Genomic DNA, 11,104 nt, shown 5'->3' with positions numbered 1-11,104 from the left:
AGTGATTCATTAAGAGATGGACATGTGTCCCAAGCTGAGCCAATGGGAGTCTTCCCTGGGACTTGTTCTGGCACCATCAGACAGAAGGTCTCTTTCTCCAGGACTGCCAGGGGCCAGAACTAGGCTGAGCTGGACCACTAAAGGTCCTCTTTACCTCTTTAATTTTATATATATATATATATATATATATATATATATATATATATATATATATACATACATACACACACACACATACATACATATATACATACACACACACATATATACACATACATATATATATACACATATATATACATATATACACATATATACATATATATACACATATATACATATATATATACACATATATATACATATATATATATATACACATATATATACATATATATATATATTGAGACAGAGTCTCGCTCTGTCACCCAGGCTGGAGTGCAGTGGTGCAATCTTGGCTCACTGCAGCCTCCGCCTCCCGGGTTCAAGCGATTCTCCTGCCTGAGGCTCCCGAATAGCTGGAATTACAGGCATCCACCACCACACCTGGCTAATTTTTGTATTTTTTAGTAGAGATGGGGTTTCACCATGTTGGCCAGGCTGATCTTGAACTCCTGACCTCAGGTGATCCGCCCACCTCAGCCTCCCAAAGTGCTGGGATTACAGGCATGAGCCATTGTGCCTGGCCTTTTTTTTTTTCTTTTTAGACACAGGGTCTCACTCTGTTGCCCAGGCTGGAGTGCAGTAGCACAATCATAGCTCACTGCAGCCTCAAACTCCTGGGCTCAAGTGATCCTCCCACCTCAGCCTCTTGAAGAGCTGAGACTACAGGTGTGCACCACCACACCCAGCTAATTTTTTAATTTTTTTGTAGAGACAGGGTCTTGCTGTGTTGCCCAGGCTGGTCTTGAACTCCTGGCTTCAAGCAGTCCTCCCACCTTGGCCTCCCAAAGCATTGGGATTACAGGCATAAGGCACCTCATCCGGCCATCTTTGCCTCCTTGGGGGTAAAGGCTGATACAGAGGGAAGCTAGGTTGAAAGACAGAGTGGAAGGGTTGGGTTCCCAACAGCATTGACTCTCTTGTCCCATCCATGCCTGAAGTCAGACGTGCTCTTGGACTTTTCCATTACAGGATTAATCAATTTCTTTGGTTGCATACGCCACATTGAGCTGAGTTTCTACCACTGTAAACTGGTACCTGTGGTCTTCCCTCTTGGGTTTTTTGTTCTCGTGGGGAAGAATCCGCCCTCCCTGTCAGCATCATTGGAAATTGCCTCTCTGTCCATTTGAACGGAACATGGAGAACTCTGCCCAGCACTCCCACAGGAATGGAGGCCTTCTGCATGTTAATTACTCACTGTCTCTGGCAAAGTGACAGGAACTGACAGAACCTTCATGGCCCTGCATCAGAGTCACACAGGCTCCACAGTTTCGAAACTCCCCTGTGTGGACGTTCCATATTTTTAAGTTTTTATCCCAGGAGCTTGTACACAGGAAATGGCCACTGAAGGTAAAACAGCAGTTTGAGATTGCATTGGAATGTGCCCTGAAACACAGATGGTGGGGTGCACACATTAGCGCTTTGCTCCTGGAGGACCTGAAGACATACCTAAAGCCGGGGGTATTTTCTCCTGTGAGCTCATGGTCGGGCTGCACATGCTAGCACTTCGCCCCAAGAGGACCTGAAGACATACCTAAGTGGGGGTCAGCATCTCCTGTGAGCTCATGTTCATCATGCCTTTGATCACTGCCTACCATGGTCCAGATGTGAATTGCTCAGACTGTCACGCTGTTCCAGCATTTCTCGACTGCACCAATTTTTAGAAAAATAATAATAGAGACAGTGTTTCGCTATGTTACCCAGGCTGCTCTCAAACTCCTAGGCTCTAGTGGTCCACCTGCCTTGGCCTCCCAAAGTAGTGCTGGGATTACAGGCGTGAGCCACGGCACTGGGCCAACCACACCAAGGTGGACATTTTGAGCTGGGTCACTCAGAGTTGTGGGGGCCGTCCTGTGTTCTGTAGGAGGTGGAGCAGCATCCCTGGCCTCTCCTGGCTAGATGCCAGGAACCCCCACACCCAGTTGTGACAACAAAACATGAGTCCAGACATTGTCAAATGTCCACTGGGGCACAAATTGCCCTCATTTGGGAAGATTCTGCAGTATTCCCTTGGCGCTGGAGGGAAAAGCAGCTGGTGTCAGGAGTGATTGATTGACAGACAGCCTTTGGGGCTTGGTGCTGGGTGGCGCTTACACAGAGGCTCTCTCCTGCTCCCCATCTTTCCCCCAACAATGTCAGGCGTGGTCTCCCCCTGTTCCACCCCTCTCTTACTTACTCCTCTGCTTCTCCACCCCAACTATTCACTCTCCCTTTTTCTCACTCCTATCCTCATTTGTCTTCAGTGCTATTCAAGTATATTTCAGTGTTGTATATTTAATTAATAAAATTGTGGGTTATTTGGCTGGGTGCAGTGGCTCATGCCTATAATCCCAGCACTTTGGGAGGCCTAGGTGGAAGGATTGCTTGAGCCCAGGATTTTGACACCAGCCTGGGCAACATAGCAAGACCCCATCTCTACAAAAAATATAAAAATTAGCTGGGCATGGTGGCACATGCCTGTAGTCCCAGCTACTCTGGAGGCTGAGGCAGGAGAATCACTTGAACCCAGGAGGTGGAGGTTGCAGTGAGCCAAGATTGTGCCATTGCACTCCAGCCTGGGCAACAGTGCAAGACTCTATCTCAGAAAAAAAATGAAGTTATTCATTCCAATTTTTAAGCATCTTCTTTTTCAGAAAAATAATAATAATAAAAAGCCTGTCTGTATTTTGCCACTTTTTGTTTGTAACCCTCAATGTCTTTCTCCTGTGATTCTCACCTCCTCTTGTAAGCAGAGTTTTCTCTGAGTAGCCTGGATCATAAAATCAATCATTTGACCTGAAGAAAAGGTTGAGCAAAACAATTTTCTAGAGCTCAGATCAGAGTTTTGGAACCCATTTTGGTTCTTTGAAAGGCACAAACTGAGCAACGCCAAAGGAGAAGAAATGTCAACTTCGCAGGGCCATCCGGGATAAACCTCACCAATTCCCAGTGCCTGGTGAGCTAAGAACCATGCTGGCATATCATGGAGGTTTGACTGCAAGCTCTCCCAGCAGCCAGACACTGTCATTGAGGTTTAAACCAGAGGTATACCCAGAGGATTATAAATCATTCTTCTATAAATACACATGCACACGTATGTTTATTGCAGCATTATTCACAATAGCAAAGACTTCGTGTCAACCCAAATGCCCATCAATGATAGACCGGATAAAGAAAATGTGGTACATATACACCATGGAATACTATGCAGCCATGAGAAAGAATGAGATCATGTCCTTTGCAGGGACATCATCCTCAGCAAACTAACACAGGAACAGAAGACCAAACACCACACGTTCTCATTCATAAGTGGGAGTTGAACAGTGAGAACACATAGACACAGGGAGGGGAACATCACACACTGAGGCCTGTCAGGGGGTGGGAGGCAAGTGGAGGGAGAGCATTAGGGCAAATACCTAACACATGCGGGGCTTAAAACCTAGATGACGTGTTGATAGATGCAGCAAACCACCGTGGCACATGTGTACCTATGTAACAAACCTGCACATTCTGCACATGTGTCCTGGAACTTAAAGTAAAAAAAAAGACATAGCAATTTCTAAATAAATAAATACATAAATAAATAAATAAATAAACCAGAGGTATCTCTATGGACTCTCATTTCACATAAATCCCACTTCTCGTAGAAGGCCATTTCACCTGTACAGAAGTTTGGGGAAAATGGCTATGCTGCACGTACAGTTCTGGACAAGATGGAGTCAACTTTAAAAGTAATTTTTTTAAATGGCTGAAATTTTACCAAATTTGGCAAAATATATAAACCTACAGATTCAAGAATCTGAGTAAAACCCAACAGGATAAATCCAAAGAAATCTACACCCAGACACATAATTACACTTCAGAAAACTAAGGACAACAAAAATATCTTCAGAGCAGCAAGAGAGAAATGACTTTTTACCTATAGGAGAAAAACAATATGAATGACAGTGTAAATGAAAACCACAGTGTGGCCAGGCACTGTGGCTCATGCCTGTAATCCCAGCACTTTGGGAGGCCGAGGTGGGTGGATCACAAGGTCAGGAGTTTGAGACCAGCCTGGCCAATGTGGTGAAACCCTGTCTCTACTAAAAATACAAAAATTAGTTGGGCATGGTGGCGGGCGCCTGTAGTCCCACCTACTCGGGAGGCTGAGGCAGGAGAATTGCTTGAACCCGGGAGGCGGAGGTTGCAGCGAGCCGAGATTGCACCCTGCAAATGATATAGCTGATCTTGCTAGAGGATTTAAAAAATTCATAATGTCGGTCGGGCTATATCATTTTCAGTTCTCAGTGCAAAATTAATAAGCAAGATCCCCACTCCTGAAAAAGCTAAGCACAGTATTACCATATGATCCAACAATTCCACTCCTGGGTATACAGAGTAAAGAATTAAAAACAGGCCAGGTGCAGTGGCTCACACCTGTCATCCCAGAACTTTGGGAGGCCAAAGTGAGAGGATCACTTGAGCTCAGAAGTTCAGGACTAGCTTGGGAGACATAATGAGACCCCGTTTCTGCAAAAAAAAAAAAAAAACAAACTTAAAAATTAGCCAGGCATGGTGGTGTGCACCTGTAGTCTCAGCTACTCAGGAAGTTGAGGCAAGAGGATCACTTGAGCCTAGGAATCCGAGGCTCCAGTGAGCTATGATCACGTCACTGCACTCCAGCCTGGGCAACAGAGCAAGACTCTGTCTCGAAATCAAATAAAATAAAAAGAATTGAAAGCAGGAACTCAAAGTTACATGTACATGTGTTCATAGCAGCATTATTCCCAATAACTAAAAGGTAGAAACAGCCTAAGAGGTCATCAACAGATGAACAGATAAACAAAATGTGGTATGTACACCTATAATGCAGTACTATTCAGTCATCAAAAGGAATGAAGTTCTTAATCCCAGCACTGTGGGAGGCCGAGGTGGGTGGATGACAAGGTCAGGAGTTTGAGACCAGCCTGGCCAACATGATGAAACCCCGTCTCTACTAATAATACAGAAATTAGCCAGGTGTGGTGGTGGGCGCCTGTAATCCCAGCTACTCAGGAGGCTGAAGCAGGAGAATCACTTGAACCCAGGAGGCAGAGGTTGCAGTGAGCCAAGATGGCACCACTGCACTCCAGCCTGGGGGACATAGCGAGACTAAGTCTCAAAGGAAAAAAAAGGAATGAAGTTCTGATGTTCTGATGCAGGCTACAACACAGATGAACCTTGAGGACATTATTTTAAGTGAAATAACCTAATCACAAGAGGACAAATAATGTATGACTCTACTTATATGAAATATCTAGAATAGGCAGATTCATAGAGACAGAAAGTAGAATAAACATTACCCAGGGCTGGGGGCATGGGGAATGGGGAGTTATTGCTTAACGGGTAAGAGCTTCTGTCTGAGATGATGAAATCATTTTGGAAATAAATAGTGGTGATGGTTGCACAACACTGTGAATGTAATGAATGGCAGAGAATTGCACACTTAAAAATGGTTAAAATATCATGTTTTATGTTGTGTGCGTGTATATATATATATATATATTTTGAGACAGAGTCTCACTCTGTCACCTAGGCTGGAGTGCAGTGGCACAATCTTGGCTCACTGCAACCTCCACCTCCCGGATTCAAGCTATTCTCCTTCCTCAGCCTCCTGAATAGCTGGGATTACAGGTGCCCGCCACCACGCCCAGCTAAGTTTTGTATTTTTACTAGAGGTGGGGTTTCACTATGTTGACCAGGCTGGTCTCGAACTCCTGACCTCAGGTGATCCGCCCCACTCGGCCTCCCAAAGTGCTGGGATTACAGGCATGAGCCACCGAGCCCAGCCCCAAAATTTTTTTAAATGATAATGTAATATCTCCAAAACGACTGAATTCACTTTATTTATTTATTTTTTTTAGACAGGGTCTTACTTCATTGTCCAGGCTGGGGTGCAGTGGTGCAATCATAGCTCACAGCAGCCTCAAACTCCTAGGCTCAAGCAATCCTCCAGCCTCAGCCTCCTGAGTAGCTGGGACTACAGGTGTGTGACACCACACCCAGCTAATTTTTAAATTTTTTGTAGAGATGGGGTCTTGTGACATTGCCCAGGCTGGTGTTGAACTCCTGGCCTGAAGTGATCCTCCCACTTTGGCCTCCCAAAGCTCTGGGATTATAGCCATGAGCCACACGCCCAGCCAGACCTTCCCATTTTACAGGAGATGCTGGAACTTCACCTTTTGTGGACTTCTCTGCACAATGATTTCCACTAGTGGCTCACATTGAAACAAATGCATCTGAGGCCCAGCCCAGCCCACAGGCCACAGCTGATGGCTCCCTCCTGCCTGCCTGTCCCCAGCCTCCTCAGAGCACCTATGACCAAGCTACAGACGTGTCCACATGGATGCTGGCTTATGTGGAATTCAGGAAGTCATGAATGGGGACGCCCCACCCAAACTCCCTTCTGGCCTCCTGGGGTCCAACTCACTTAGTGATGGTGAGCAGCGTGGCCTGGGATGTAACATCCCAGATCTTGATGCACCTGTCCAATGAGACAGAAGCCACCCTCTGGCTGTCGGGGTCAAAGCAGCATGACGTGATGGACCTTGTGTGATGATCTGCAGAACACGGAGGAAAGGGACTTGAGACCACGCCTTCCACCTGCTGGGCTGGAGGACTCCCACGACTTCCCCAGCCAGTGACGATTACAAAACACAATTCCAGTTTTCATCAGGAGCTACACACCTGCACAAACATTCCTGAGTGACTACTATGTCCCAGGCTTTGAACCGGGAGCACAGCAGGTTCCCTGCCCCCGCAGAGCTGCCAGTCTGATGGAGGAGACACCCCGGACCAGGCAACGACCTGCCACATGCCACAGATCATGAGATGAGTGCACGGGCCACCAAGGCCCAGACAACATAAGCCTGGCCACCCTGAGGGGTCCAGGAAGGGCCCGAAAAGCCAGCAAGGGAAGCAGAAATGGAAGAGCACTCCAGGAAGAAGGAACAGTGCTTGCAAAGGCCTGGGCCGGATCATGGAGCAGTGTGGGGCAAAGCTGGAGTCTGAAGCATGGTGGGGTCAGAGTGTCAAGTGGGCTCTTAGGGGCTATTAGGGAAGCTGTGGGGCAGTGCACATGGCATAGTGCCACATCGATAAAAAGAAACACAAAGCACATATGAGAAGCAGTGTTGTGTGTGCAAACACTTGTACGCACAGGCATACACACAGGGTTCAGGAAGACTGCCCAGCAATGTATGGTTCATAACAGGTGCCTCTGGGGAGGAGACAGGACAGACACAGCAGCCTTTTGCTTTTTTATTTACATAATGAATGATTTTTTTATTTTTGAGACAGGGCCTCATTCTGTCACCTGGGCTGGAGCGCAGAGGCGCGATTTCGGCTCACTGCAACCTCCACCTCCTGGGTTCCAGCAATTCTGCCTCAGCCTCCCGAGTAGCTGGGATTACAGGTGCCCGCCACCACGCCCGGCTAATTTTTGTATTTTTAGTAGAGACAGGGTTTCACCATGTTGGCCAGGCTGGTCTTGAACTTTTGAGCTCAGGTGATCCACCAGCCTCGGCCTCCCAAAGTGCTGGGATTACAGGCATGAGCCACCACGCCCAGCCCATAATGAATGTCTTTACAATGATTACACATTTTTTTAACTTTAATTTTAAGATAATTGTAAACTCCCATGGAGGTGTAAGGAATAACAGAGAAATCACCCATGTCCTTCACCCAGCAGCCCCCATGGGAACATGTGGTATCATCATCACACAGTGTCCCAACCAGGAAACTGTCATACAACAATTACTAAGTCCTATATTTTAAAAATAGGCTGGGCACAGTGGCTCATGCCCGTAATCCCAGCACTTTGGGAGACCAAGGCGGGCAGATCACCTGAGGTCAGGAGCTCGAGACCAGCCTGCCCAACATGGTGAAACCCCATCTCTACTAAAAATACAAAAATTAGCTGGGCGTGGTGGTGGGTGCCTGTAATCCCAGCTACTCAGAAGGCTGAGGCAAGGAGAATTGCTTGAACCCAGGAAGTGGAGGTTGAGGTGACCCGAGATCGCACCACTACACTCCAGCCTAGGAGACAGAGCAAGACTCCATCTCAAAAAAGAAAAAAAAAAAAGATACAGGTAGGCCGGGTGAGGGGGCTTCTCCTATAATCCCTCACTTTGGGAGGCTGAGGCAGGAGGATCCCTCGAGGCCAGGAGTTTGACATCAGCCTGGGCAACATAGCAAGACTCTGTTAATGTTAACTCTGTTAATGTTAATGTTAAGAAGCCTGAGCCTCCCCTCAATAAAAGATTAGGCTGTCAATGACCACATGAGGTTGGAGCCGAACATTGTGTCCTTTGTTAAAAGCACAAGACTGAATGAATGGAAAAGCATTAACTGAAGAGGATCAGTTTTGGTGTGTTTTTTTGTTTGTTTGTTTGTTTTTTGTTTGTTTGTTTGTTTTTTTGAGATGGAGTCTCACTCTGTCTGCCAGGCTGGAGTCCAGTGGCTCAATCTCAGCTCAATACAATCTCCACCTCCGGGTTCAAGTGATTCTCCCGTTTCAGCCTCTCAAGCAGCTGGGACTACAGGTGCATGCCATCACACCTGGCTAATTTTTGTATTGTTTTTGGTAGTGACAGGGTTTCACCCTGTTGCCCAGGCTGGTCTCAAACTCCTGGGCTCAAGCAACCTCCCAAAGTGCTGGGATTACAGATGCAATCCCAGCCACCGCACCTAGCCTAGTGTCCCAGCTTTAATGACGTGCTTCATACCATTACAGTTTCACCAAATAAAGCAATGGAAGGTCACCGTCAGTCAGTGACAAGTGGCTATTCCTATGGCAGACTGAAGATACAGGGAGCCCGCACACCCTCACCTTTGATGACGGAAACGGTGGTGATGTTCTCGGCGTCCATTATGCAGATTCCATGATCCACGTCGAAGCCTGAGACCACGTATTTACCATCAGGAGAAAACTTACAGGAGACGATGAAGGTATCATACCTGACCTTCCACTGAAATGAGCCAGCAATCAAAAGGTTGTTTTAAGCCAGGTGTGGTGTGTTACACCTGTAAACCCAGTGCTTTGGGAGGCCAAGGCTGGAGGATCGCTTGAGACCAGGAGCCTGAGACTAGCCTGGGAAACATGCAAGATCTCCATCTCTACAAAAGTAAAACATGAGCCAGGTGTGGCGGTGCTCGCCTGTAGTCCCAGCTACTTATGAGGCTGTGGCGGGAGGATCATCTGAGCCCAGGAGTTTGAGGCTGCAGTGAGCTACGATGGCGCCACTGTGTTCCAGCCTGGGTGACAGAGCTTGCAAGACCCTGTCTCTAAAAATCATCATCATCGTCATCATAAAATAAAAACTTGGCTTATCTTGTCTTTCTAAAAATGTTTACAATGAATACAAACTGACCTTTGCACTAACAAGAAAGGTTGTTTTTTAAGGAAAGGAAGGAGGAAGGGACAGAAAAGGCCTGCAGGAGCTGAGAGGGAGGGACGGCAGGGGTGAGGCAGGAGACCCCGAGGAGGCCCCTGAGCAGAGCTGAGGGTGCCTGGAAGGGGTGCAGGGCCGAGTGGGAGTCTTGAGCCTGTGGGATGGACGGAGAGTGACCCCCTCCAAGATATAAAGAGAACAGACTGGTAAGGGCCAGAACCCTGGTTCTTGGGGGCACATGGCCTTTGTCCCATGGCCTCAGCCCCACTTCCTGTCTAATCAAATCCAAACATCTTACCGGGGAGCCTGGAATACCAGCCCCCACACCCCACCCCCAATTCTGGCTTCTTTCTGTGTATCCAAACCCATCCCATCTTTCAAGCAGAAGCCTTGGTTCCATCCGCCTCCTCCAGGAGTCTTCCTCCCCCAGTGCCCACCCTCTCACCCTCCAGACTTTTTGCAAGCAATGGCTGTTGTGGGTGCAGTTCACATCTGTACTTCCATCCCCAGGAACATGCCTCCTTCCTAGAAGAATGGAGTTTTATCACCTCCCCCTACCCAGGGTCCAACCCAAAGCTGCCTGAGGCTTGGTCAAGCCCCTGGGCTGCAACCAACGCCCCCACTGGACAGGCATACGTACCAGCAGCTTGCCTGTCTCCAGGTCCCAGGCCCTCACTGTCTTATCATAGGATGCGGCAATGACTCTGGAAATAAGATGACGATGACGAACACTGGTTCTTTTTTTTGAGACAGGGTGTCTTTCTGTTGCCCCAGCTGGAGTGCAGTGGTGCAATACCGGCTCACTGCAACCTCCACCTCCCAGGTTCAAACGACCCTCCTGCCACAGCCTCCTGAGTAGCTGAGATTACAGGCGCCCGCCACCACGCCCAGCTAATTTTTGTATTTTTAGTAGAAACGGGGTTTTGCCATGTTGGCCAGGCTGGTCTCAAACTCCTGACCTCAAGTGATCCACCTGCCTCGGCCTCCCAAAGTGCTAGTATTATAGGCGTGAACCACCGCGCCTGGCCAAACATTGATTCTTAACAACAGAGACAGTTAGGTCTGTGGTCCTTTCCATCCTCCCCCGCCCCCCGCCTTTCCTTTTCTTTTTTGAGACAGGATGTCACTCTGTCATCCACGCTGCAGTCCAGTGGTGCAATCCTAGCTCACTGCCACCTTGAGCTTCTGGGCTCAAGTGATCCTCCTACCTCAGCCTCCTGAGTAGCTGGGACTATGGGCACTCATCATCATGCCTGGCTATTTTTTTCTCTCTCTCTTTTTTTTTTTTTCCTTAGAGACAGAGCCCAGGCTGGTCTCTCCTGGCCTCAAGCGATCCTCCCACCTCAGCCTCCCAGAGTACTGGAATTACAAGAATAAGCCACCACGCCTGGCCTGCCTATGACTTCTATGAAGACTTTTTTTCATTTTTCTAATTTAGGACCAAGATTATAATTAACACAATCATCTTTAAAAGACTGCTCCATCACCCACCCTAGGGACCATTCGGTTCTCACTGAAACTAGAGAGAACCAGCCAAGCACGGTGGCTCA

General features: G+C 47.7%; 1 protein-coding gene across 6 annotated transcripts in view, besides 5 other annotated features; it reads right to left on the bottom strand.

Moving 5' to 3' along the window:
- Positions 1-11,104, bottom strand: part of WDR88 (WD repeat domain 88) — a 43,686-nt gene that overhangs the window by 17,897 nt on the left and 14,685 nt on the right. For 4 of the 6 annotated variants that reach the window (NR_135565.2, XM_011526449.3, NM_173479.4 and 1 more), the window contains 4 exons: positions 10,195-10,258; positions 8,993-9,131; positions 6,593-6,722; positions 1,361-1,548 (listed from right to left, as the gene is read on the bottom strand). Coding sequence is in view for 4 of the 6 variants with exons in the window: in XM_011526449.3 (XP_011524751.1) it covers positions 1,361-1,548; positions 6,593-6,722; positions 8,993-9,131; positions 10,195-10,258 (521 nt within the window). In the remaining 2 variants the exon portion in view is untranslated. Of the gene's footprint in view, positions 1-1,360; positions 1,549-1,722; positions 1,811-6,592; positions 6,723-8,992; positions 9,132-10,194; positions 10,259-11,104 lie in introns of those variants that run through there. The other 2 variants (XM_011526450.3, XR_007066581.1) reach the window with 2 other exon arrangements.
- Positions 6,452-6,621: an enhancer, noted in NCBI's record as "experimental_51137 CRE fragment used in MPRA reporter constructs". NCBI's record gives its function as "activates a minimal promoter by MPRAs in K562 erythroleukemia cells, with activity observed for both the introgressed and non-introgressed 19:33642273 or rs12327849 variant alleles {active_cell/tissue: K562}" and the evidence as "EXISTENCE:reporter gene assay evidence [ECO:0000049][PMID:34662402]".
- Position 6,536: a transcriptional cis regulatory region, noted in NCBI's record as "Neanderthal adaptively introgressed variant 19:33642273 (GRCh37/hg19 assembly coordinates) or rs12327849 in the experimental_51137 CRE". NCBI's record gives its function as "modulates activity of the experimental_51137 enhancer by MPRAs in K562 erythroleukemia cells {active_cell/tissue: K562}" and the evidence as "EXISTENCE:reporter gene assay evidence [ECO:0000049][PMID:34662402]".
- Positions 9,704-9,873: an enhancer, noted in NCBI's record as "experimental_51126 CRE fragment used in MPRA reporter constructs". NCBI's record gives its function as "activates a minimal promoter by MPRAs in K562 erythroleukemia cells, with activity observed for the non-introgressed 19:33639021 or rs13345755 variant allele {active_cell/tissue: K562}" and the evidence as "EXISTENCE:reporter gene assay evidence [ECO:0000049][PMID:34662402]".
- Position 9,788: a transcriptional cis regulatory region, noted in NCBI's record as "Neanderthal adaptively introgressed variant 19:33639021 (GRCh37/hg19 assembly coordinates) or rs13345755 in the experimental_51126 CRE". NCBI's record gives its function as "modulates activity of the experimental_51126 enhancer by MPRAs in K562 erythroleukemia cells {active_cell/tissue: K562}" and the evidence as "EXISTENCE:reporter gene assay evidence [ECO:0000049][PMID:34662402]".
- Positions 10,825-10,994: an enhancer, noted in NCBI's record as "experimental_51125 CRE fragment used in MPRA reporter constructs". NCBI's record gives its function as "activates a minimal promoter by MPRAs in K562 erythroleukemia cells, with activity observed for both the introgressed and non-introgressed 19:33637900 variant alleles {active_cell/tissue: K562}" and the evidence as "EXISTENCE:reporter gene assay evidence [ECO:0000049][PMID:34662402]".

Source organism: Homo sapiens, chromosome 19, assembly GCF_000001405.40.
Source record: "Homo sapiens chromosome 19, GRCh38.p14 Primary Assembly".
Lineage (NCBI taxonomy): Eukaryota > Metazoa > Chordata > Mammalia > Primates > Hominidae > Homo > Homo sapiens.
Note: the sequence above shows the minus strand (reverse complement) of the source record. Positions and strands in the feature narration are given on the sequence as shown.